This window comes from Homo sapiens, chromosome 10, assembly GCF_000001405.40.
Source record: "Homo sapiens chromosome 10, GRCh38.p14 Primary Assembly".
NCBI classification, from domain to species: domain Eukaryota; kingdom Metazoa; phylum Chordata; class Mammalia; order Primates; family Hominidae; genus Homo; species Homo sapiens.
The window spans coordinates 95,796,123-95,823,103 of record NC_000010.11 but is presented as its reverse complement, the minus strand read 5'-3'; the positions used below and the strand labels follow the sequence as shown (position 1 = coordinate 95,823,103).

At 42.7% G+C, this 26,981-nt stretch overlaps 1 protein-coding gene and 1 long non-coding RNA gene across 33 annotated transcripts in view, besides 1 other annotated feature; one reads left to right on the top strand and one right to left on the bottom strand.

Annotated features, from left to right (window-relative positions):
* Positions 1 to 26,981, bottom strand: part of ENTPD1 (ectonucleoside triphosphate diphosphohydrolase 1) — a 183,082-nt gene that overhangs the window by 54,163 nt on the left and 101,938 nt on the right. The window contains exon 2 of one of the 32 annotated variants that reach the window (NM_001312654.1): positions 12,298 to 12,471. The exons of the other annotated variants lie outside the window; for them this stretch is intronic. The gene's annotated coding sequence lies outside the window, so the exon portion shown is untranslated. The remainder of the gene's footprint in view (positions 1 to 12,297; positions 12,472 to 26,981) is intronic. 32 annotated transcript variants of the gene reach the window in all.
* ENTPD1-AS1 (ENTPD1 antisense RNA 1) overlaps positions 1 to 26,981 on the top strand; it is a 337,030-nt gene that overhangs the window by 267,132 nt on the left and 42,917 nt on the right. The window lies entirely within an intron of this gene.
* Positions 2,452 to 2,501: an enhancer, noted in NCBI's record as "active region_3807". NCBI's record gives its function as "activates an Ori minimal core promoter by ATAC-STARR-seq in GM12878 lymphoblastoid cells {active_cell/tissue: GM12878}" and the evidence as "EXISTENCE:reporter gene assay evidence [ECO:0000049][PMID:35858748]".

Below are 26,981 nucleotides of genomic sequence, written 5' to 3'. Positions count from 1 at the left end.
TGAGGTACTTACAGAGTAATTGGGAAATAATTCAAGAACAAAAGGATTTGTTTGTACTTTGACAAAGGCCAAGACTGAGTTAGTGGCTGTGGCAAGGACAAAACTAGGTCAGTGATCAGATATGGAATGAGGAGTGAGAAGAGCCCCAAATTGGCTGTTTAACAGTTCACACAGATCTATCAAGGTAGAAGTAACAAATAACAAAAAACAAGAATACCCCTCCTCATTTTTGAAATCTACCACAAAATGTTTATGATGTTAAAAAGTATTAAGAATGTATCATCAAACAACAAATCCCACTATTCCATGACATTTCCTGGCTTGACATACATACCCCTTGCATTTAAACCACCCTTACATAGTAAGCAATTGGTAATGGCATAGAGGCTGAGGAGTCTTGAACATTTTGGATCATAATTCATATTATCTTATTTATTTTGTCTTTAGTCTCATTCTGTCATGGGACATTAGAAAAGCTCCAATAGTAGAATTATATAAAAGGCAAAAGTGGCCGGACACGGCAGCTCACACCTGTAGTCCCAGCACTTTGGGAGGCTGAGGCAGGTGGATCTCAAGGCCAGCAGTTCAAGACCAGCCAGGTCAATATGGTGAAACCCCATCTCTACTAAAAATACAAAAATTAGCCAGGCATGGTGGTGGGCACCTGTAATCCCAGCTACTCGGGAGGCTGAGGCAGGAGAATCGCTTGAACCCCGGAGGCAGAGGTTTCGGTGAGCCAAGATCGCACCACTGCACTCCAGGCTGGGCGACAGAACAAGACTCCATCTCAAAAAAATAATAACCAAAAACGGGTGCCGTGGCTCACGCTTGTAATCCCAGCACTTTGGGAGGCTGAGGCAGGTGGATCACGAGGTCAACAGATCAAGACTATCCTGGCCAACATGGTGAAACCCCGTCTCTACTGAAAATACAAAAATTAGATGGGCATGGTGGCGTGCACCTGCCATCCCAGCTACTCAGGAGGCTGAGGCAGGAGAATCACTTGAACCCAGGAGGCAGAGGTTGCTGTGAGCCAAGATTGCACCACTGTGCTCTAGCCTGGAGACAGAGTGAAACTCCCTCTCAAAAAAAAAAAAAAAAAAAAAAGGCAAAAGCTACTTTGGTCAGATGTAAACAGATTGCATAGAGGAAGTGAACAGGAAATGAAATGGTTGCACCATTCCCTCCATTTTGACAACTCAACCTCCTCCTCTCTCAACTCCCCAAACTATTCCCAAACGTAGAAGCTGGCTGGGCACTGAAATGGGAGCTCTCTCTGAAGCTCTTGAGCAGAAGCTTGAACTTAATCCAAGTCTAAGCTTGGATTAAGGTATGGGTCTCCAATCCACCTCAATCCCCAGAATCTTGAGGCAGTCTTTACCCATCAGACCAAACAATACAAAATTTAGGAGAAAAAGTTTTAGCAACATCATTATCTATTGCTTCCAAACAAGGAAGAGCAGGTGAAATACACAGCACTTCCCTGCTTCTCCCTTCCCAAAAGAAACTCCATTTTGTTCAGATGCTTGCCTTTCCCCCAAGCTCAGGGATGGACTTGTCTGTGTAATTTCATTCCCTCACCAGTGACTGGTTTAATAATGGGTATGCCACCTAATTATGGCCCATGTGACCGTGGAGGAAGTCTTCTGGGGCAAGTCTAGGGAAAAAAGAAAACATTCTCTCTTCATCCTCAAACATTGTCCTGCCTGGAAGGGATGGCATTCAATGATGGCAGAGCAGAGAGATGTAGAGAACGTGAGTCCTTGATGGCATTTTAAGCTGCTAAATCAACAAATGCTGAGCCCATCCTTCCATAAAACTTATGCTTTGACCCAATTAGAGTCAGGATTTTAACTACTTGAAGCTAAAACATCTGGATAAAACTGGTATGGGAGAGATGTCCTCTTTGATGCCAGTGTTCTGGAATCTGGAAAAGAACCCTCTAAGGGCACCCCACTTTGGTTCCCAACGTTGTGATGTTGACAAACACAGCCCTAAGCAGCATGTCCTTTAGATAAGCAATTATAAATAAAACAACCAATTATAAATATAACAACAAACAAACTGTAGCAATGTTTCTACCATAATAAAATTTTGAATGTTTTACTCCCTCAAGCTATTCAACAAGGTCTACTTGTTAACTTCTTTTGTTTTTGTAAATATGACAATCTTGCAATCTCATTTTCCTTCCATGGCCATTTCAGGCACTATTCTTAGCATCCAAGTTACTACAATAAAAAAAGAAAAACTGATAAGGCCCCTGCTCTTTGGAATTTACAATCTAGTTAGCAAGACAGATAAACCAGAAAAGAAGCACATAAATAGGTGATTTCAGGTCACAATATGTGCTAAGAAGAAATTCAAACCAAGGAACTTGATAGAGTGACTTGCGGTAGAATTGGGAATGAAGGGAAAGGTATCAGATTGAGGGTCAAGAAAGCCTCTCTCAGAAGATGACATTTGAGCCGAGACCTTGAAGGTGACATTTGAGGAGAAAACACCAGCCTGGAGAGGGAGTAAGAACATAAGAGGAAGAAGGAACAGAAACTGCAAGAACCCAGAGGTGGGAACCAACTTGATGTGACTATAATTATTTCTTCCTTTTCCTAACGAGAAAATTTACTAACTTCTTCTTGTCATTGAGGAGTTAGATGTACACTTTTCCACATTTTCCCAGCTTTTGCAATGATATCCAGGTTACCAGAATATATGCAAGCCTTTCATCCTACTCTTATTTCTTATTAAAGATATAATAAGAAAAAGATTTTTAGGTCAGAGAGAAAATTTAGGAATTTTTCATACATGATTTTTCAAATGTTTTTATTACCAAAAGAACCCACAATGGTTAAGTTTGTTTTTCATGTAACTGACTACATTACCCAGAGAGCAGTAATTAAAATGCTATCTTCCATGGACTATATGTCAGCCAGTTTTCAAAAGCCCTGATCACATCCAGGAAGCAGGAGAGTCATCTCAGAAGTGGTGCCAAAGAAGAGGTGCTAGAGGTGGGGTGCAGGTTGACATATCTTGGATGTGTTCATAAAAAGAGAATTACTTAGGTAACTGCCCCTTCTTCTTAGACCCCCAGAGTGCTTTCAGATCCCATGACTGCCACAGTCAAGCTCTATTATGGAAAATTCACATTGATTGTCTTCCCCCTGAAAAGCCCTTAATTTGCCTTGTGGATAACAGAAATGTGGTTTCTGTCATACAATGTGAAATGGTATTTCGAAACAGAATTTCAACAAATGATTTTACCAAAATATCCAATGGCAAAGTGTTGTCATTGTTTTCCCTTTGAATTGGCTTACTGTACTGGAGAATTTAAGACGGCCACTTCCTTTGCATTTTTTTCTTTTCATGTGATGTGACAAGGGAGGGGAATTTTCAGCTTAAAGTGAGAGAGCAAGGTAATATTAACTTCAACTCTTCACCTGACAGAGAGATAAAACTGAAGGAAACCCAAGCTTTGAAAAAACACAGGCTGATTTCAAGCCAATTAGCTGTGTCAGAGGAAAAATACCTTCAAGACTTTTATAAGAATCAAAGGAAGCAAAGGTTCTTTTGATTCTTATAGAAACAGCCATCATGATGTCCAGTTATAATCATACTAAGGTGAAAATCAAAATTATTTAATCTCGGCAGGGTGCAGTGGCTCACACCTGTAATCTCAGCACTTTGGGAGGCAAAGGTGGGCGGATCACTTGAGTCCAGGAGTTTGAGACTGGGGGGTAACATGGTGAAAATCTGTCTCTACAAAAAAAATACAAAAATTAGCCAGGCGTGGTGGCATATGCCTGTAGTCCCAGCTATTTGGGAGGCTGAGGTGAGAGGATCGCTTGAGCCCAGGACACCGAGGTTGTAGTGAGCCAAGATCACACCACTGCACTCTAGCCTGGGCAACAGAGTGAGACCCTGTCTCCAAAACAAACAAACAAATTATTTAATTTTGTCCATAGTCAAAATTCTGTTGTATAGAGAAATCCCAGCATTGCTACTCTGTGATAACAAAAATATAACAGCTTAAAATTTTACTCCATTAATAAACAGATTTGGGGTGTTGACAGATGTGGTGGATTTCAGGCAAAAAAAAGTTTTGCTTTGCAGATCCAATGTGACTGACTAGATTCAAATTGTTTCCAATTTGTTATGAGTCACATCTGGACTAAACTTTTCTTGTCATATAGAGAACAAAACAGCAAATGTGGACAAGCATTGGTGAGCAAACATTCAAGGAATGTTGTGGTCCTTCCTGTGTTTACATAGCCTAATGATGGAACAATCACTGAAGCTCAGAAGACTGGTCCTAATCTGGCGTTGTCGTTCCTCCAACTCACAGAGTCAAAGTCTCCACACCACCCCTGCTACCTTCCTTCTTCTCCATCAGGGAACTCTTCTTGAGGACACATATGTAGGTTGTTCTCACACTCAGGGGCTTGAAGATCCTCTCTCAGTTATTTCATCCCAAGCCCCTTAGACCCACCTTCTTCTATAGTGATATCCACATCCCCTGATTCCAGTCACCCTTACCTCATATCTGATCTTCTACAATGGCCCTTTCTGGTGACTCCCACACTTCCTAATTATCTTCTCTATCAGAATCCCTCCTTCATGTGGCTATAGAAATCTTCCACAATTGACGTTCCTAAGACTCTACCTTATCAAGAACCTATGTCCTGCTGTGTGCCAGATGAAAGCTACACTGGTCTACCTAGACCTCCAAGCCCTTCAGAAATTTCAGCCCTTCCCATTTTACCATTCCAACCAACAGATCTGTTTGGGTCCAAGATGAGAATTCCTGACATTATGACTACTAGAATGTAAGCTCCTTAGGGCAGGGACTTTTTTCTGGCTTGTTCATTGGTATATCCCATGTTGTATGAATGAATGAATGAATGAATGAATTTTGGATTCTCTGAACTTTTCTCAGTGTGGGACGCCTTCATTTGTAATTCCATTCCCCTCATTCTCCAAGTCTTTTTGTCTCCTTCAAAATCAAGCTCAGTTGGAAGCTATGCTCCCCCTATACTCTACAAAGCTCAGTTATGTCAGTAGTCCTCTCTTCATGTGCTACCTCTAGATATAGCTTGAACCATTTCAGTTTGGGAGTTCTATAGTTGTTGGAGAGGGGACTATGCCTCATTCATTTTTTCAGTTGGTCACTCAATAATTACTTATTGAACACATTATTACTATGAACTAGACCTGCCCTAGGCTCTGAGCTACAGCAATAACCCAAAGTGAGAAATGTCCCTATCCTCATGGTGCTTATATTCTAGTTGGGAGAAAAATACAATAAGCAAGATAAACAAAATTTACAGTGTATTACATAATTTTAAGTGCTGAGGAGGAAGAAAAAGCAAGGAAGGTAAAAAGGAAGGATGCAGTGATTAGGACTGGCCTGAGAAGGTGATTTCTATCACAGGGAGAAAGCCTGCATACCTCTGAGGCAAGAGCTTTACAGCATCTGGAACTGTACACAGAAAGGCCCTGAGGGGAGAGTAGTAGGAACTGGTCAGAGGATCAATGGGGTCCCCTGCTCATAAGGCCTTGAGGGCACTAGTGAGGGCTTTGCCTTATTCTGAGTGATGTGACTTACTTCTAAAGTCATTCATATAATCTATGCTTAGCAACTTAGGGGTGAACAAGGAACCATTGGGGGCTGTTGAAGTCACTGGAGAGAGAGGGTGTGGCCTTTTAGGGTGGCACATCCCTGCCTCTTGTGGTAATGATGTGCTGAGGCTACTCAAATGAGGTCAGGCCACACAGCCAAGTGTGGACAGAGCCTGGCTCCATCAGAGCAGAGCTTGTGCCAAAACCAGGTCTGGGCAGACGCATCCAGGAGGAGTAAACATAATCACATGTGACAGCCTTCTCAATGCCTTCTAGACTTCTTGATGGCTCAGCACTGGAGAGTCTTTTCTGAGAGACCATCATCAGGAAGGGTCACCGAGCCAACAATCATCAGGATCCATCAGCAGTTAGTCAAACTCCACAGACTTCTGGGGGATGGTTCAAGCTAGAGCAGAGTTCAGATAAGCTTACCTTTGCTTAGTCTCTGTAAGCCTCCATTTCCTCATGGGCAGAATGGGAGTCACAATAGTATCTGCTTCATAGGGTTGCTATGTAAGGTTCAATGAGCTAACAACACGTAATAGCCTATACTAAAGAGTTCTTACTATATTCCAGATTCTACTCTTAGCACTTTAAATGCAGCCATCAATTTAGCCTTCACTACAATCCTATAAGGTGCACGTAATACTATCATCTTCTCTATAAAATCTGTATTAGTTTTTTAGGGCTGCCACAACAAGTTACCATGAACTTGCTGGCTTCAAACAGAAATGTATTCTTTCATAAATCTGGAGGCCAGAAGTCCAAAAGTTAAGGTATCAGCAGGGGCATGCTCCCTTTGAAGGTTCTGGAGGAGATGTCTTTCTTGTCTTTTTCAGCTTCTTAGCATTCCTTGGCTTGTGGCTGCATCACTCCAATCTCCACCTCTGTCTTCACATGGCCTTTCCCCCTGTTGCTCTTTGTGTCACGTTTCCTTCTCCTTTCTCTCATAAGGACACCAGTCATCAGATTTAGGGCCCACCCTAAATTCAAGATGATTTCATCTCAAGATCCTTAGCTTAATTACATCTCTGAACACCCTACTATATTTCCAAATAAAGTCACACTCACAGTCACTATTATAATTATCATTATTGTTAGTTTACAGATGAGGAAACTGAGTCACAGAGAGATTAAGTAACTTCCCAAAGTTACACTGATGTAAATGTTGCGCTGTTACATGTAGTTAGACAGACATGGCAGGAAAGGGCTCTTCTCCCCCACCAACTAGAAATATCAGGTGATGGTTTGACAGTTATCACATTGCCTCTCTAAAAATGATAATTTGGCAGCTGGAGCCAGGGAGAGAAAATCTGCTGATCCACAGCTGTAACATTAAAGTGTTAATTGAATTCAAGCACCAGGGAGAAGCAACTTCCTGGGCATGCACATTAAGAGACAAAAGGTGGAAGATGACTTGCCGGGAGCACTCCACCGGAAAAGGAAAGAAAGCCTCAGATGAGCATGCACACAACTTCCTAAACACACTGTGTGCTCAAGGAGGTAAGGAGGGCACTGTGCGTGCAGGCAGCCCACCCTAAGGGAAGAATCACGGGAAAAGGGCTCAAGATGGCCGCCTATAAAGTCCTAGGATCACAGCTAAACACGTTGTTTGTTCTCCAAGTTGCCCACTTGGATCTCTTCCAAGGGTTCTCTCCTTTCTTTCCTGTTCTAAAGCCTTTTCAATAAACTTCCAGTCCTGCTCTGAAACTTGACTCAGTCTCTTTTTCTACTTTATATCCCTCACATTCTTTCTTCTGATGAGGCAAGAATTGAGGTTACTGCAGACCCGTATGGATACACTGCCAGTAACTCAGATAGCTGCCACCGGTAACAGGGCCAGGAATTAAACACGGGCATTCTGGCTTCAAGGTCCAGGCTTTTAACCAGCACCCTACCCTACAATACATGACTGAGGCTCATACAGTGTCTGGGCTGTGCTACCAGTACTGTTATGTGGTAGCCAATCTCATTATCCAGAAATAAAAAGTGACCAACATTGAGGATTTGGCTGGAAGGGTTGTCTGGACTGTTCTCACTGAGGATACCAATGTCCTACCTTTTGAAATCATGAATCTCATCCCTGACAGTCAGAAGCTTACAGTTAAGTGACAAAAGGCTGAGACTGTGTTTCTCAGGAAGCTTAAGGGACTTGCCCAAGTCATGCACCTTGCACGTGGCAGAACAGGGATTTGATCCAAGTGTCTCAGTTCCACTTCAATGCCTTAAATCATTGTCCTGCATTAGAGATGCGTAGAAATTTTTCAGTTTTATTCTTTCTCAGCTGACCCAATGCAAAAGCACTAGTCCAAAATTCTATCTAAATGGAAAGGTCTTATTCTACCCCAACCCCATATTTCTCCAATTAACCAATCCAGAGTCACATTCAAGGATAAAGCAGTTTAATTTAGCGGGTTTTTTCCTGCCTATATTTTACTTAAAGAAGTCAGCACAAACATCAATAGAAACACAACTGCTAAAGACAAACTTTGATCCTAAAGATCTCAATGATAACCAGTTAGTTAAAGGGCAAAAGGCAAAAAAGAAGGAGGAAAAATGAGATGGACATTGGGTTGGGAGACACAGGTAAGAAAATAGAGCCAGGAAATAAGAAGGAAGGGAAGGGGTGGGGGTGAGAATGAAAAGAAAGGTAGAAAGACAAGGTAATTGAGTAAATAACCCATGTCCTGTTCCACTGATCTCTTGAACCACAGACGTCAGAGGAAGTTACTGGCTCTTTTTAATGCTATTTTATTTCCACTCTTTGAACTTTTAATTAGCCAATTATTCTCGGTTCACAGCTTCTTAGTTAGAAAACAATTGCATTTATCTTAACAACGTAGCCTGGCTGATACTGAGTGGACCCCTTGAGACTCAGCTTTGGGTGGGGAGAGCCTATTTGGTGACATCCAGATAGTGTAGATGTGGGTGGGGGTGCAGAACAAGCTCTTCCTGCAAATCAGATTCAGCCAACCTGAGGCTCCCCACCCACAGTTCTTGGGCAACACACTCTTCTCAGATTAGCAGCATGTAACTAACATAACTGGTTTGCACTTGGTTATACCTGACTCTAAAAATGTTAATGATCGCAAAAATCAAATGGTGACAGAGGCTCTATGTATGGGAAATGAGGAAGCAAAAGAGTCCTCTTCCCTGATTCTTCTCACTTCCTCCAACCAAACCATCCATTCTCTCTTGCCCCCACCCCTTCTAGCCTCCCTCAAATTCTTTTGCCCATAGATTGCATTGAGAATAATAGGCCTTTGTGGTCAGTGTGGAATCCCATGTTTAAGTGTAGGGTTGGCAGGGAGGAAGGCTGTTTCCGGCAAAGTGATGTCACTGACTCTGCAGACAGGAATTCCCTGTGTCCCAGCCAAAAGGCGTAACAATCTGGTATATTGATGGCCTCAGCAATAAGCGCATTGCTTCCACTAAACGAGTCTTCTTCCACATCTGAAATTGAAAAATTGTGCCCTGGGGACTCTACCCTTTCTCAAAGCAGCTGCATTTGTCAACAAGCCTTGGTTATTTGCAGATGGTGAGAATAAGCAAGAAAATCTGTATTGGCCATGCATCTCTAGTGCTGGATAATAGTGGAAGCAGGGTGAACTGACTCAACCAGGGTGCCTAGCCTTATAGTCTTGTCTTGTATACCTTGCCTTTATAAACTCTCTCATTTATACCGCCTTATTTTTGCACCAATGAGGTACAAAATTTAGAGGTTACATACAAATATTACTATAGAAAAATGTGCTATAAGCTATACAAAATAAAATTCTAAGCCCCCCAACTGACCAGACCATCTTTTGGCCAAGGGGACCCCAGAGAAACCTTGAAAACTGCGTTCTCGGCCAAGATGGAATGGAGGGTGGGAGGGGCTCAGACCCTCTCCCTTGCTAACCAGGAGTAGGCTTTCCTTCTCAAGGGCCTAACAGAAACCAGCCCTTTCAAAAGGCTCCACCACTGATATCAACCGACTCCCTGATGCTGCCCCATCTTTTCTGCCTGATAAGAGACCACTAACTATGGGGTGGTTCTGGCCAGTCTATGAAGAATAGGCAGCTAGTGTTTTCACATCCTCTGCTTCATGTTTTGATGTCAGAGGGCCAAAAACTCCACCTAAGGTCACCACCATTTTTTGAACATGGAGAAGCAGAAGGCTCAATTACACATGCAGATGGTTCTCCCTTCATAAATATTCATGACTCCTTCTATAGCTTATTGAATATGTATATTTGGCCACCAGCTCTGTGTAAATTCCTGTTCCCTTTGCCCCTCCCTCCAGATATGTTTCTGGCTTCTGACTGGAGGCTATACTTCCCAACCTGTCAAAATGGCCATCCTGCAGGCTGTAACCTTTTATAAGAAATAAAGTCTCCTCTTCTCTTCAAAATTTGTAAATTGTATTTCTGTAAGTTAACAAATCAAAGTAAAAAATGACAAAAGTTTGCAACAATTATGAAATAGTTGGATTCACTAATATATAAGCGTCATTTTAAAATCATTAAGAAAATGATCAGCTCACCTAATAGAAAAATGGCAAAGAAGATGAATAGGCAATTCAAAGAAAAAGAAATATGTGTTATCAACATATTAAATGTATTCTAACTACCCTTAATTAAAGAAATGTAAATGAAAAAAATAATTTTCAGAATAGCAACATTTTTAAAGTTTGATAAATACATAATATTCACTATACACTTATTAGAATGGCCAAAATTTTTTAAATATTGACAATATGAAATGTTGGTAAGAATGCAGAGCAACTGAAACACTTGTGCCTTGCTGCTAGGGATGGGAAATAACAAAGCCACTTTGAGAAAGTGTTTGGCAGTTTCTTATAAAGTTAAATAAAAACTCACCATAAAATTGAGCAATCCCACACTGAGGTATTTACCTGAGAAAAGCAAAGACCTATGTCCACACAAAGACATGTACCTAGATATTTCCAACTGCTTTATTCATAATTGCCAAAACCTCAAAACAATCCAAATGCTAGCAACTGGCAAATGTATACAAATTGGGAACAATCATACAATGAAATTCTACTCAGCAATAAGGAAAAGGAATAAACTACTGATAAATGTAACAATATGTATGAATCTCAAAAGCATTATGCTAAGTAAAAGAAACCAGACTCAAACAGGCTATTTACTTTGTGCTTTCATTGATATGATATTTTGGAAAAGGCAAAACTAAGAACAGAAATTAGATCAGTAGGCAAAGGCTCAGGATGGGCACAGAGGATTGACTACAAAGGGCCACAAAGGAGCTTTTGGAAATAATAGAAATATTCTAGATTTTGATTGTGATGGTGGTTAAATGACTTTATATGTTTGTCAAAATTCATAGAACTTTACACCTTAAAAAGTGAATTTTACTGTAAATTCAGTAAAGAAATTATATATGTTGACAAAGATGTGGGAAAACAGATACTTCTTGTATGTTTGTAGGAGTAAAAATTTGTAGAACCTCTTTGATGGGGAGGCAATTGAGTAACATCTATCAAAGGGTAAAGCACATATATCCTTTGACTGAAGAATTCTAATTCTAGAAATTTAACCTGCTGATATACTTATGAATATGTGAAAAAATGGTGCATAGACAGCGACATTCAGTGCAGCATTGTTTGTAATGGCAAAAGACTAAAAATGACTAAAAGTCCATCAACTGATGTCTGGATATATAAATTCTACCACATTCATAATACATAATTCTATGCAGACATGAAAAAGACTGAGCTAGATCTATGAATGTTGACACAAACTGTCTTCAAAACATTTCATTATGTGAAAAACAAGATGTGGGGCCAGGCGTGGTGGGTCATAACCCCAGTGCTTTGGGAGGCCGAGGCAGAATAATCACTTGAGCCCAGGAGTTCGAGACTAATCTGGGCAACATAGGGAGAGACCCTATCTCTACAAAAAATTTAAAAATTATCCAGGTATGGTGGCGTGTGCTTGTGGTCCCAGCTACTCAGGAGGCTGAGGCAGGAGGGGACTGCTTGAGCTCGAGAGTTCTAAAGGCTTTGAGTTAAAGAGGAAAAAATGTACAGAGGGTTTCCAGTTCAGAGTAAAGTGGCAAAGATGATAGGAGCTGGGAAGGTGAACATTGGGTACATAGGAAGTTGTGCGCTGGTGGTTTAATGTTGACTTTGCCCACTCTAGCACCCTGTCAGCCACTCACCAACCTGATTAACTCAAGCAGCTACCTTTGGGTTCCCATTCATTCTTTCTTGCCAGATCAATGTAATTTCTGTACTCTTTGGGCAGAATTGTAAAGTCTCACTTGGTAGACTTTGGGTGGACTCAAAGTTCTATTTTGAGGGAAATTTGACATCTCTCCCTCTGCCCCTCTGGGGTTATGTATCTGTGTAAGCGAGAAATGCCATCTGGATAAGATATGGTCATGCAATTAAATGTCTATGGTAACACTGTCAGAGATCATCTGACACCTAACCAGCTGGCTTTCTCTTTAACCATCAACACAGAGTATCTGCACTTTAGAAACATGAAAACTCAATCTTATAAATTGATTAGTATCTAGTTCCTGTCAAAATGTGACAGATACTACTGATATTTCAGAATGACAATATCAGGGTCCTCTGCGTTTTTTTCTAAGCATATTTTCTGTACCCATTTAGTGAGGAGGAAGGTAGGTGGAGTTAGAGAAAGGTTCCTTTACCTTGGAAACAGGAACTTCCTCTGAGAGCAAAACTAGTAAGATGAATATATAATAGATGAGAGTAGCTTTTAGCCAAATCACCCACAGTTTAAAAGTTATTTCAGTCTTGTGGCTTCAGTATCTCCTCAAATCCAGCATATGACTCAGAAAGTCGTGTCCTACTGAATTTTGTACCTGAGTGAAGAAGGAATATGTGAATATGGTGGGGATGGGGTCATCTACATAGAATAAAAAAGGCAACTAAACCCTGTCTGGGAAGTGAGGAGCGCCTCTGCCCGGCCACCACCCCATCTGGGATGTGAGGAGCGTCTCTGCCTGGCCGCCCTGTCCGGGAAGTGAGGAGCGCCTCTGCCCGGCTGCCCTATCCGGGAAGTGAGGAGCGCCTCTGCCCAGCCGCCCTGTCCAGGAAGTGAGGAGCACCTCTGCCCGGCCGCCCTGTCTGGGAGGTGAGGAGTGCCTCTGCCCAGCCGCCCCATCTGGGAACTGAGGAGCACCTCTGCCCAGCCACCGCCCCATCTGGGAGGTGAGGAGCGTCTCTGCCTGGCCGCCACCCCGTCTGGGAGGTGAGGAGTGCCTCTGCCTGGCCACCACCCCGTCTGGGATGTGAGGAGCGCCTCTGCCCGGCCAACCCGTCCGGGAGGTGAGGAGCGCCTCTGCCCGGCCGCCCCGTCCGGGAGGTGAGGAGCGCCTCTGCCCGGCCGCCCTGTCCGGGAGGTGAGGAGTGCCTCTGCCCGACCGCGACCCTGTCTGGGAAGTGAGGAGTGCCTCTGCCCGACTGCGACCCTGTCTGGGAAGTGAGAAGCGCCTCTGCCCGGCCGCCCTTTCTGGGAGGTGAGGAGCGCCTCTGCCCGGCCGCCCCGTCTGAGAAGTGAGGAGCACCTCTGCCCGGCAGCTGCCCCGTCTGGGAAGTGAGGAGCACCTCTGCCTGGCCACTGCCCCATCTGGGAAGTGAGGAGCATCTCAGCCCGGCCGCTGCCCCGTCTGGGAAGTGGGGAGCACTTCTGCCCCGCCGCCCCGTCTGGGAGGTGGGGAGTGCCTCTGCCCAGCCGCCCCATCTGGGAGGTGGGGAGCGCCTCTGCCCGGCGGCCACCCCGTCTGGGGGGTGGGGAGCGCCTCTGCCCGGCGGCCACCCCGTCTGGGAGGTGGGGAGCACCTCTGCCCGGCATCCGCCCCGTCTGGGAGGTGGGGAGCGCCTCTGCCTGGCATCCGCCCCGTCTGGGAGGTGGGGGGGCGCCTCTGCCCAGCATCCGCCCCATCTGGGAGGTGGGGGGCGCCTCTGCCCAGCATCTGCCCCGTCTGGGAGGTGGGGGGTGCCTCTGCCCGGCCGCCCCGTCTGGGAGGTGGGGGGCGCCTCTGCCCGGCCGCCCCGTCTGGGAGGTGGGGGACGCCTCTGCCCGGCCTCCCCGTCTGGGGGGTGGGGGGCGCCTCTGCCCGGCCGCCCCGTCTTGGGGGTGGGGGGCGCCTCTGCCCGGCCACCCCATCTGGGATGTGGGGGGCGCCTCTGCCTGGCCACCCTGTCTGGGATGTGGGGGGTGCCTCTGCCCGGCTGCCACCCTGTCTGGGAGGTGTACCCAATAACTCATTGAGAACGGGCCATGATGACGATGGTGGTTTTGTCGAAAAGAAAAGGGGGAAATGTGGGGAAAAGAAAGAGAGATCAGATTGTTACTGTGTCTGTGTAGAAAGAAGTAGGCATAGGAGACTCCATTTTGTTCTGTACTAAGAAAAATTCTTCTGCCTTGGGATGCTGTTAATCTATAACCTTACCCCCAACCCCGTGCTCTCTGAAACATGTGCTGTGTCAACTCAGGGTTAAATGGATTAAGGGTGGTGCAAGATGTGCTTTGTTAAACAGATGCTTGAAGGCAGCATGCTAGTTAAGAGTCATCACCACTCCCTAATCTCAAGTACCCAAGGACACAAACACTGCGGAAGGCTGCAGGGTCCTCTGCCTAGGAAAACCAGAGACCTTTGTTCACGTGTTTATCTGCTGACCTTCTCTCCACTATTGTCCTATTACCCTGCCACATCCCCCTCTCCGAGAAACACCCAAGAATGATCAACAAAATTATTAAAAAAAAAAAAAGCAACTAAAATAATCTGTCAAAGTATCTCTAGCATGGTCTGGGGAAAGAAGGTGCCTTGGCATGTGGACTCAAGTACACCATTTCCTTGAAAGTTTTTTCCCCTACAGTGATGAAGAATGCCTCCTCTAAGATAATCAAACTAACTCCCCCACTTCTGATTTCATGTCTACCAAGCTGTCTTGCCATGTCAATTTTTCTACAAGGTAAAAAATGAAGACCTGGTATCATTCCTGCTGAAACTATTCCCAGAATAGGGAAGAGGGACTTCACCCTAACTCATTCTACGAGGCATATGAGCATCATCCTGATACCAAAACCTGGCAGAGATGCAACAAAAAATGAAAACTTCAGGCCAATATCCTTGATAAACATGGATGCAAATATCCTCAACAAAATACTGGCAAACCAAATCCAGGAGCACATCAAAAAGCTTATCCACCACAATCAAGTAGCCTTTATCCCTGCGATGTAAGGTTGGTTCAACATAAGCAAATCAATAAATGTGATTCATCCTGCAAACAGAATTAAAGACAAAAACCACATGGTTATCTCAATAGACACAGAAAAGGATTTCTATAAAATTCAACGCCTCTTCATGTTAAAAACTCCCTGTAAATTAGGTATTGAGGGAACATCCCTCAAAATAATAAGAGCCATCTATGACAAACCCACAGCCAACATCATACTAAATGGCAAGACCTGGAAGCATTCCCCTTGAAAACTGGCACAAGGCAAGGATGTCCTCTGTCACCACTCCTATTTAACATAGTATTGGATGTCCTGGTTAGGGCAATCAGGCAAGAGAAGGAAATAAAGGGCATCCAAATAGGAAGAGAAGAAGTCAAACTATCCCTGTTTGCAGACAACATGATCCTATACCTAGAAAACCCCATGGTCTCAGCCCCAAAGCTCCTTAAGCTGATTAACAACTTCAACAAAGTCTCAGAATACAAAATCAATGTGCAAAGCTCCCTAACACTCCATACACCAACATCAGTCAAGCTGAGAGCCAAAGCAGGAAGAGCTCTCCAAGGAGAACTACAAAACACTGCTCAAAAAAGTCAGAGAAGGATCCATTCCAAGATGGCTGAATAGGAACAGCTCCAGTCTGCAGCTCCCAGTGTGATTGACCCAGAAGATGGGTGATTTCTGCATTTCCAATTGAGGTACCTGGTTCAACTCATTGGAACTGGTTGGACAACGGGTGCAGCCCACAGAGGGTGAGCTGAAGCAGGGCGGGGCATCGCCTCACCTGGGAAGCACAAGGGGTTGGGGGATTTCCCTTTCCTAGCCAAGGGAAGCTGTGACATATTACACCTGGAAAACGGGACACTCCCACCCAAATACTGTGCTTTTCTCAAGGTCTTGGCAACTGGCAGACAAGGAGATTCTCTCCCGTGCCTGGCTTGGCGGGTCACACACCCACGGAGCCTTGTTCACTGAAAGTGCAGCAGTCTGAGATTGAACCGCAAGGTGGAAGCCTGGCTGGGGGAGGGGCATCCACTATTGCTGAGGCTTGAGTAGGTAAACAAAGTGGCCTGGAAGTGCGAACTGGGCAGAGCCCACCGCAGCTCAGCAAGCCCTACTACCTCTACACTCCATCTCTGTGGGCAGGACTTAGCTGAACAAAAGGCAGCAGACAACTTCGGCAGACTTAAACATCCCTGTCTGACAGCTCTGAAGAGAGCAGTGGTTCTCCCAGCATGGTGTTTGAGCTCTGAAAACGGACAGATTGCCCCCTCAAGTGGGTCCCTGACCCCCATGTAGCCTAACTGGGAGACACCTCCCAGTAGGGGCCAGCAGACACCTCATATAGGCGGGTCCCCTTTTGGGACGAAGCTTCCAGAGGAAGGATCAGGCAGCAATATTTGCTGTTGTGCAATATTTGCTGTTCTGCAGCCTCCGCTGGTGATACCCAGACAAACAGGGTCTGGAGTGGACCTCCAGCAAACTCCAACAGACCTGCAGCAGAGGGGCCTGACTGTTAGAAGGAAAACTAACAAACAGAAGGAAATAGCATCAACATCAACAAAAAGGACACCTACACCAGAACCCCATCTGTAGGTCACCAATATCAAAGACCAAAAGTAGATAAAACCACAAAGATGGGGTGAAACCAGAGCAGGAAAGCTGAAAATTCTAAAAACCAGAGCACCTCTTCTCCTCCAAAGGATTGCAGCTCCTTGCCAGCAATGGAACAAAGCTGGATGGAGAATGACTTTGACGAGTTGACAGAAGTAGGCTTCAGAAGGTTAGTAATAACAAACTTCTCTGAACTAAAGGAGCATGTTCAAACCCATCACAAGAAAGCTAAAAACCTTAGGTTAGATAAATGGCTAACTAGAATAAACAGTGTAGAAAAGACCTTAAATGACCTGATGGAGCTGAAAACCATGGCACAAGAACTATGTGACACATGCACAACCTTCATTAGCCGATTCGATCAAGTGGAAGAAAGGGTATCAATGATTGAAGATCAAATTAATGAAATAAAGTGAGAAGAGAAGTTTAAAGAAAAAAGAGTAAAAAGAAATGAACAAAGCCTCCAAGAAATGTGGGACTATGTGAAAAGACCAAATCTATGTCTGATTGGTGTACCTGAAAGTGACAGGGAGAATGGAACCAAGTTGGAAAACACTCTTCAGGATATTATCCAGGAGAACTTCCCCAACCTAGCAAGGCAGGCCAACATTCAAATTCAGGAAATACAGAGAACACCACAAAGATATTCCTCGAGAAGAGCAACCCCAAGATACATAATTGTCAGATTCACCAAGGTTGAAATGAAGGAAAAAATGTTAAGGGCAGCCAGAGAGAAAGTTCGGGTTACCCACAAAGGGAAGCCCATCAGTCTTACAGCGGATCTCTGGGCAGAAACTCTACAAGCCAGAAGAGAATGGGGGCCAATATTCAACATTCTTAAAGAAAAGAATTTTCGACCTAGAATTTCCTATCCAGCCAAACTAAGCTTCATAAGTGAAGGAGAAATAAAATCCTTTACAGACAAGCAAACACTGAGAGATTTTGTCACCACAAGGCTTGCCTTACAAGAGCTCCTGAAGGAAGCACTAAACATGGAAAGGAACAACCAGTACCAGCCACTGCAAAAACATGCCAAATTGTAAAGACCATCGATACGAGAAAGAAACTGCATCAGCTAGCGGGCAAAATAACCAGCTAACATCATAATGACAGGATCAAATTCACACATAACAATATTAACCTTAAAAATAAATGGGCTAAATGTCCCAATTAAAAGACATAGACTGGCAAATTGGATAAAGAGTCAAGACCCATCAGTGTGCTATATTCAGGAGACCCATCTCATGTGAAACGAATGCACATAGGCTCAAAATAAATGGATGGAGGAAGATCTAACAAGCAAATGGAAAGCAAAAAAAAGGAGGGGTTGCAATCCTAGTCTCTTGTAAAACAGACTTTAAACCAACAAAGATCAAAAGAGACAAAGAAGGCCATTACATAATGATAAAGGGATCAATTCAACAAGAAGAGCTAACTATCCTAAGTATATATGCACCCAATACAGGAGCACCCAGATTCATAAAGCAAGTCCTTAGAGACCTACAAAGAGACTTAGACTCCCACACAATGATAATGGGAGACTTTTACACCCCACTGTCAATATTAGACAGATCAACGAGACAGAAGGTTAACAAGGATATCCAGGACTTGAACTCAGCTCTGCACCAAGCAGACCTAATAGACATCTACAGAACTCTCCATCCCAAATCAACAGACTATACCAAAGACAAAAACCACACGATTATCTCAATAGATGCAGAAAAAGCCTTTGACAAAATTCAACAGACCTTCATGCTGAAAACTCTCAATAAACTAGGTATTGATGGAACATATCTCAAAATAATAAGAGCTATTTATGACAAACCCACAGCCAATATCATACTGAATGTGCAAAAACTGGAAGCATTCCCTTTGAAAACTGGCACAAGACAGGGATGCCCTCTCTCACCACTCCTATTCAACATAGTGTTGGAAGTTCTGGACAGGGCAATCAGGCCAGAGAAAGAAGTATCAATTAGGAAAAGACAAAGTCAAATTGTCCCTGTTTGCAGATGACATGATTGTATATTTAGAAAACCCCATTGTCTCAGCCCAAAATCTCCTTAAGCTGATAAGCAACTTCAGCAAAGTCACAGGAAACAAATTTAATGTGCAAAAATCATAAGCATTCTTATACACCAGTAACAGACAAACAGAGAGCCAAATCATGAGTGAACTCCTATTCACAATTGCTTCAAAGAGAATAAAATACCTAGGAATCCAACTTACAAGGGATGTGAAGGACCTCTTCAAGAGAACTACAATCCACTGCTCAATGAAATAAAAGAGGACACAAACAAATGGAAGAGCATTCCATGCTCATGGATAGGAAGAATCAATGCTGCCCAAGGTAATTTGTAGATTCAAAGCCATCCCCACCAAGCTACCAATGACTTTCTTCACAGAATTGGAAGAAAACTACTTTAAAGCTCCTATGGAACCAAAAGAGAGCCCACATTGCCAAGACAATCCTAAGCAAGAAGAACAAAGCTGGAGGCATCACGCTACCTGACTTCAAACTATACTACAAGGCTACAGTAACCAAAACAGCATGGTACTGGTACCAAAACAGAGAGACAGACCAATGGAACAGAACAGTGGCCTCAGAAATAACACCACACATCTACAATCACCTGATCTTTGACAAACCTGACAAAAACAAGAAATGAGGAAAGGATTCCCTATTTAATGAATGGTCCTGGGAAAACTGGCTAGCCATATGTAGAAAGCTGAAACTGGATCCCTTCCTTACACCTTATACAAAAATTAATTCAAGAAGGATTAAAGACTTAAATGTTAGACCTAAAACCTTAAAAACCCTAGAAGAAAACCTAGGCAATGCCATTCAGGACATAGGTATGGGCAAGGACTTCATGACTAAAACACCAAAAGCAATGGCAACAAAAGCCAAAATGGACAAATGGGATCTAATTAAACTAAAAAGTTTGCACAGCAAAAGAAACTACCATCAGAGTGAACAGGCAACCTACAGAATGGGAGGAAATTTTTGCGATCTACCCATCTGACAAAGAGCTAATATTCAGAATCTACAAAGAACTTAAACAAATTTACAAGAAAAAAACAACCCCATCAAAAAGTGGGCAAAGGATATGAACAGACACTTCTCAAAAGAGGACATCTATGCAGCCAACAGACACATTAAAAAATGCTCATCATCACTGGTCATCAGAGAAATGCAAATCAAAACCACAATGAGATATCACCTCACATCAGTTAGAATGGCAATTATTAAAAAGTCAGGAAACGACAGATGCTGACGAGGCTGTGGAGAAACAGGAATGCTTTTACACTGTTGGTGGGAGTGTAAACTAGCTCAACCATTGTGGAAGACAGTGTGGTGATCCAAGGATCTAGAACTAGAAATACCATTTGACCCAGCAATCTAAAAAGCCAAAGATGACACAAACAAATGGAAAAACATTCCATGCTCATGGACAGGAAGATTCCATATCGTTAAAATGGCCATACCGCCCAAAGCAATTTATAGATTCAATGCTATTCCTATTAAGCTACCATTGAGATTCTTCACAGAACTAGAACAAACTATTTTAAAATTCATATGGAACCAAGAAAGAGCCCAGATAACCAAGGCAATCCTAAGCAAAAAGAACAAAGCTGGAGGCATCATGCTATCTGACCTCAAACTATACCAGCAATACCCAAAGGATTATAAAGCATGCTACTATAAAGACGTATGCATACGTATGTTTATTGCGGCACTATTCACAATAGCAAAGACTTGGAACCAACCCAAATGTCCATCAGTGATGGATTAAAAAAATGTGGCACATATACACCATGGAATACTATGCAGCCATAAAAAAGGATGAGTTCATGTCCTTTGCGGAGACATGGATGAAGATGGAAACCATCATCCTCAGCAAACTATCACAAGGACAAAAAACCAAACACCACATGTTCTCACTCATAGGTGGGAATTGAACAATGAGATCACTTGGACACAGGGCGGGGAACATCACACACCGGGGCCTGTCATGGTGTGGGGGGTTTGGAGAGGGATAGCATTAGGAGAAATACCTAATGTGAATGATGAGTTGATGGGTGCAGCAAACCAACATGGCACATGTATACCTATGTATCAAACCTGCATGTTCTGCACATGTACCCTAGAACTTAACGCATAATTTTAAAAAAAGAAGGTGGGAAATAAATCATTCAAAACAGAAAAAAAAAATTCATGGATATGCTAATTACCCTGAAAAAAGAAAAGAAAAGAAACATTTTACAACCTGCTCTCTCTCTCTGAGGTGTGCTATCTGAGAGCTTCCTCTGCAAAATAAAACTTGGTCTCCACAATCATTTATCTTTAACCTGAACATTCCTTTTTATAGATCTCAGGTCTTTTGACAAACTCAAGCAATTGTCAAACAGAAAACATTTAAATTTACCTATAGCCTGGTAGCCCTCACTTGGAGTTCTCCTACCTTTCTGAAACAAACCAATGTATTTCTTAAATGTATTTGATTAATGTCTCATGCCTCTCTAAAATATATAAAACCAAGCTGTACCCCGATCACCTTGGGCACATGTTCTCAGGACCTCCCGAGGGCTGACAGGCCATGGTCACTCACATTTGGATCAGAATAAATCTAAAAAGTCAGAGATGACACAAACAAATGGAAAAACATTCTATGCTCATGGATAGGAAGAATCCATATCATTAAAATGGCCATACCGCCCAAAGCAATTTATAGATTCAATGCTATTCCTATTAAACTACCATTGAGATTCTTCACAGAACTAGAACAAACTATTTTAAAATTCATATGGAACCAAGAAAGAGCCCAAATAACCAAGGCAATCCTAAGCAAAAAGAACAAAGCTGGAGGCATCACGCTATCTGACCTCAAACTATACTACAGGGTTACAGTAACCAAAACAGCTTGGTTCTGGTACAAAATCAGACACATAGACCAATGGAACAGAATAGAGAACCCAGAGGCAGAGGTTACAATAAGCAGAGATCACGCCATTGCACTCCAGCCTGGGCAACAAAAGCAAATCTCTGCCTCAAAAATAAATAAATAAAAATAAAAAATAAATAAAAATAAAAAGAATAGAGGACCCAGAAATAAGGCCACACATCTACAACCACCTGATCTTGGATAAACCTGACAAAAACAAACAATGGGGAAAGGATTCCCTATTCAATAAATGGTGCTGGGATAACTGGCTAGACATATGCATAAGACTGAAGCTGGACTCCTTCCTTATACCATATACAAAAGTTAACTCAGGATGGATTAAAGACCTAAATGTAAAACCCAAAACCATAAAAATCCTGGAAGACAACCTAGACAATACCATTCCAGACATAGGAATGGGCAAAGATTTCATGAGGAAGACACCAAAAGCAATAGCAACAAAAGCAAAAATTGACAAATGGTATCTAATGGAACTAAAAAGCTTCGGCACAGCTGTTGCAGGAAGTCAGGGACCCCAAACAGAGGGACCAGCTGGAGCCAAGGCAGAAGAAAATAAATTGTGAAGATTTCATGGACATTTATCAGTTCCCAAAATTAATACTTTTATAATTTCTTATGCCTGTCTTTACTGCAATCTCTGAACATAAATTGTGAAGATTTCATGGACATTTACCACTTCCCCAATCAATACTCTTATAATTTCTTATGCCTGTCTTTAATCTCTTAATCCTGTCATCTTCTTAAGCTGAGGATGTATGTCACCTCAGGACCCTGTGATGATTGTGTTAACTGTACAAATTGTTTGTAAAACATGTGTGTTTAAACAATATAAAATCAGTGCACCCTGAAAAATAACAGAATAACAGCTATTTTCAGGGAACGAGGAAAGATAACCATAAGGTCTGACTGCCTGTGGGGTCGGGCAGAATACAGCCATATTTTTCTTCTTGCAGAAAGCCTATAGATAGATGTGTGAGTAGGAGAAATATCGCTGAATTCTTTTCCCAGCAAGGAGTAACCCTGGGGAAGGAATGCATTCCTGGGGATAGGTCTATAGACAGCCACTCTGGGAATGTCTGTCTTATGCAGTTGAGATAAGGACTGAAATACGCCCTGGTCTCCTGCAGTACCCTCAGGCTTACTAGGATTGGGAAATTCCAGCCTGGTAAATTCTAGTCATACTGGTTGTCTGCTCTCAAACCCTGTTTCCTGTTAAGATGTTTATCAAGACAATGCATGCACAGTGGGACATAGGCCCTCATCAGTAATTCTAATTTTGCCTTGCCTTGTGACCTTTATTGCTCTTTGAAGCATGTGATCTTTGTGACTTACTCCCTGTTCATACACCCCCTCCCCTTTCAAAATCCCTAATAAAAACTTGCTGGTTTTGCGGCTCAGGGTCGTCATCACAGTCCTACCAATACGTGATGACATCCCCGGAAGACCAGCTGTAAAATTTCTCTCTTTGTACTCTTTCTCTTTATTTCTCAGACCGGCCAACACTTAGGGAAAATAGAAAGAACGTATGTTGAAATATTGGGGGCTGGTTCCCCCGATACACAGCAAAATAAACTATCAACAGAGTAAGCAGACAACCTACAGAATGGGAGAAAATTTTTGCAACTTATGCATCCAACAAAGATCTAATATCTGACATCCATAAGAAATTTAAACAAATGTACAAGAAAAAACAACCCCATTAAAAAGTGGGCAAAGGACATGAACAGACACTCTTCAGAATAAAGCATACATGTGGCCAACAATCATATAAAAAAAGCTCAACATCACTGATCATTAGAGGAATGCAAAACCACAATAAGATACCATCTCACACCAGTCAGAATGGCTATCATTAAAAAGTAAAAAAATAACGGATGCTGGCAAGGTTGTGGAGAAAAAAGAACGCTTATACACAATTGGTGGTAGTGTAAATTAGTTTAACCATTTTGGAAGACAGTGCAGTGATTCCTCAAAGACCTAAAAACAGAAATAACATTTGACCCAGAAATCCCATTACTGGATATATACCCAAAGGAATATAAATCATTCTATCATAAAGACACATATGTTCACTGCAGCACTATTCACAATAGCAGAGACACGGAATCAACTTAAATGCCCATCAATCATAGACCAGATAAAGAAAATGTGGTACATATACACCACAGAATACTATACAGCCATAAAAAAGAATGAGATCATGTCCTTTGCAGGAACAGGCATGGAGCTGGAGGCCATTATCCTTAGTAAATTAATGCAGGAACAAAAAACCAAATGCCACATATTCTCACTTATAAGTGAGAGCCAAATGATGAGAATACATGGATATATAAAGTGGCATAACACACACTAGGGCCTATTGGAGGGTGGAAGGTGGGAGGAGAGAGAGGATAAGGAAAAATAACCAATGGGAGCTAGGCTTAATACCTGGGTGATGAAATAATCTGTACAATAAACTCCCATGACACAAGTTTGCCTATATAACAGACCTGCACATGTACCCCTGAGCTTAAAAGTTTAAAAAATGAGCTGATATTGTTAATCCCTAAATGGGTATTATGCCTTACACATCCATCTCTTATGTGTTTGGTTTCACATGATTCTTATCCTTTTCATTCCATCAGGTGAAATAGATTGTCTGTCTGTATAAAACCGGGCTACCTATAGAACACAGAAGCAACGTGAAGACCACTGAAGCCACATATTCAGCAAAATCTGTGTGCTTCTTGCTCACATGCAGGTGGTCTGTTTTCTTATTTGCTCAGATTCACAGAAGTAGGAGTGGTGCAGCCACAGAAGGAAGGCCAATGCAGACAATAGTAATTCCACATGCCTTTTCTCCTTCAGAGTTACAACAATGTTCTGAGTGAAGGAAAATGTGTCTCTACCTTAACAAAAGCTTGAGATACCAAACTGAAGGAAGAATATATTATGGTACTTGGAAATGACTTGTAAAATATTTGAAATTCTTTGTAGAAATTCCTAAAAACCCAAAGACTCTGGGGAACACATGAGTTAATGAGGAAAATTTTACCCCACCTTCTGGGAAGGTCATGTTGCCTGGAACTGACCTCTGGGAATGGCTTGTCCCATCTTTAGGGAAAGGATAGCTGGTAAAGACAATATTTGGATAACAAGACAATATTAGGCCTACCCTCCACCCATTCTCTCAGGATTGGGTGGGGTGAAGCCACATCCTCTCTTCTCAGAGCTTTTTATAGTGTTTATTCCACTTCTCTCCCCTTCAGTTCTCTCCCTCCAGCATTCCCAGAGAGCTGATCCATGCCACACTAGTTCTTATTACTTGACTTTCTCTAACTTGCTTTTTTTTAAAATTCTCCTGGCAATAAGTGCCTTTCTAAACTCCACCTCCCTACTTGCTGAACCCACTGTATCTGGCTCCTGATCCCATTCCACTAAAGCTGTTCACACAAATATCACCAACAACCTCATAGTGCCAAATCCAGTGGACACATCTCAGTATCTACATTTCTTGTGCAATCTGACATTTGACATCTTAGTACATAAGCACTCTCCTTTCCTGGCTCCCATGACACCAGGTTTTTCCAATAACCATCCTACTTCCCCTACTTTGCCAGCTTCTCTTTTACACCATACCCTTTAAATATGAATGATCCACAGCGTTCCATCTTGGGATGTTGGTTCATCTCATTTTATCTACATATGCCAACTGAATGGTGATAACTCCCTACTCACTATGAGGATGGCAAGTCCTTAATCTCTATGAGGATAACTCCCCAACCTCTATAGGAATGACATCCTACTCTCTATGGCGATGATGCACAGTCTGGATGTTTTCCTCCTCCAAATCTCATGTTAAAATGTGACCTTCAATGTTGAAGGTGGGCCTAGTGGCAAGTTTTTGCGTCACAGGGGTGGATCCCTCATGAATGGCATGGTGTCCTCTCCATAGTAATGAGCGAGTTCTCGTTCTGTTAGTTCACACAAGAGCTGGTTGTTTAAAAGAGCCTGGCACCTCCTCCTTTCTCTCTTGCTCCATCACCATGTGATATGCCCATTGCCTTCTGCCACAATTGTAAGCTTCCTGAGGCCCTCACCAGAAGCAGATGTTGGCACTATACTGCTTGTGTACAAGCACCATGTTACAGGCTGAACCTGCAGGACCATAAGACAAATAAACCTCTTTTCTTTATAAATTACCCAGTCTCAGGCATTCCTTTAAAGAATGCAAACAGACTAACACAATGCCCTAGTCTCTATGAGGATAACTTCCTAATCTCTATGATGACAAGTCCCCAGTCTTTATGGCCGTGATTCCCTGATCTGTATTTCCAGCCCAGGCCTTTCTCTTGAGCTCAAAATTTATAATGCTAGTCACCTACTGGACATATCTGCTTGGATGTTCTATGGCCAAACTCACCATGTCTAAAATTTAACTTTTTACCCACTCTAAATTAATCTTTTCGCATAATTGGCTAAGTAAAGATCACCACTTTCCCTCTAAGTCCCCCTATATTCCCACTTCTCCCTCTAATCTCCAAGTTTTGTTGATTCCACCCACTAAATACCTCTCAAATCTATTTGTTTATCTCCTTATTTTGTTTTTGTGTTTTTTTCAGATAGAGTCTTGCTCTGTAACCCAGGCTGGAGTGCAGTGGCATAATTATAGCTCACTACAGCCTTGAACTCCTGGACTCAAGTGATTCTCCTGTCTCAGCCTCCTGAGTAGCTAGGGACTACGGGCGTGCACCACCGCACCTGGCTAATTTTTTTGTAGAGACAGGGTCTCAATATGTTGCCCAGGCTGGTCTCAAACTCCTGGCCTCAAGTGACCCTCCTTCCATAGCCTCCCAAATAATTGGGATTACCAGTATGAGCCACCATGCCCAGGCCATTTCTCTCTGTATTTCTTCCCTGGACTCCTACAATAACTTCTGTAGAGTCCTCCCCACCTCTAGGTACTTCCCCTTCCAACACATCATCTACTTAAAAGCTAACATAGTCATCCTAAAAATGCAAACCTCAGTATGTGGCCCTAACTAGTATGAAGTTCTTCAGTTATGCCTTTATGTCCCTCAAAAGCCAAACTCCAGCAACAATTTTAAGGCCATGCTAACCATCTAACCACACAACCCATGTGTATTAAGGTGTTGGTCTCTAAATGGGGTCTTTTTTTCCTATCCTCCTGCCTTATAGTAAAATGTTCCTGTTTCTTTCTTGTACCTGAAACAGTATTCTTTCCTCTCTTATTTATCTAACTAACTCTACCTTATGAAGAAATTGAGGCTCAAATTGTTAGTTTATGTGTTATCACTTCCAGGAAGTCTTTCTGAGAAAGGCTTTCCCCTTCTCTAATGATGGACGAAATACCCTCCTTTGCAATCCTCTCATAGCACCCTTCTCACAATGCTATAATAGCCTTTAACTTGTGTCAGTCTCCCCTATGAGACAGAGCACCTTAAGAACAAGGAGTGCCTCTCCAGAGCCCAGCAAAGGGTTTGGCCTATAGCAGTGTTACATATGTCAGTTGAATGAGTGAAATGGATTTAGACTTTTAGTACACAAC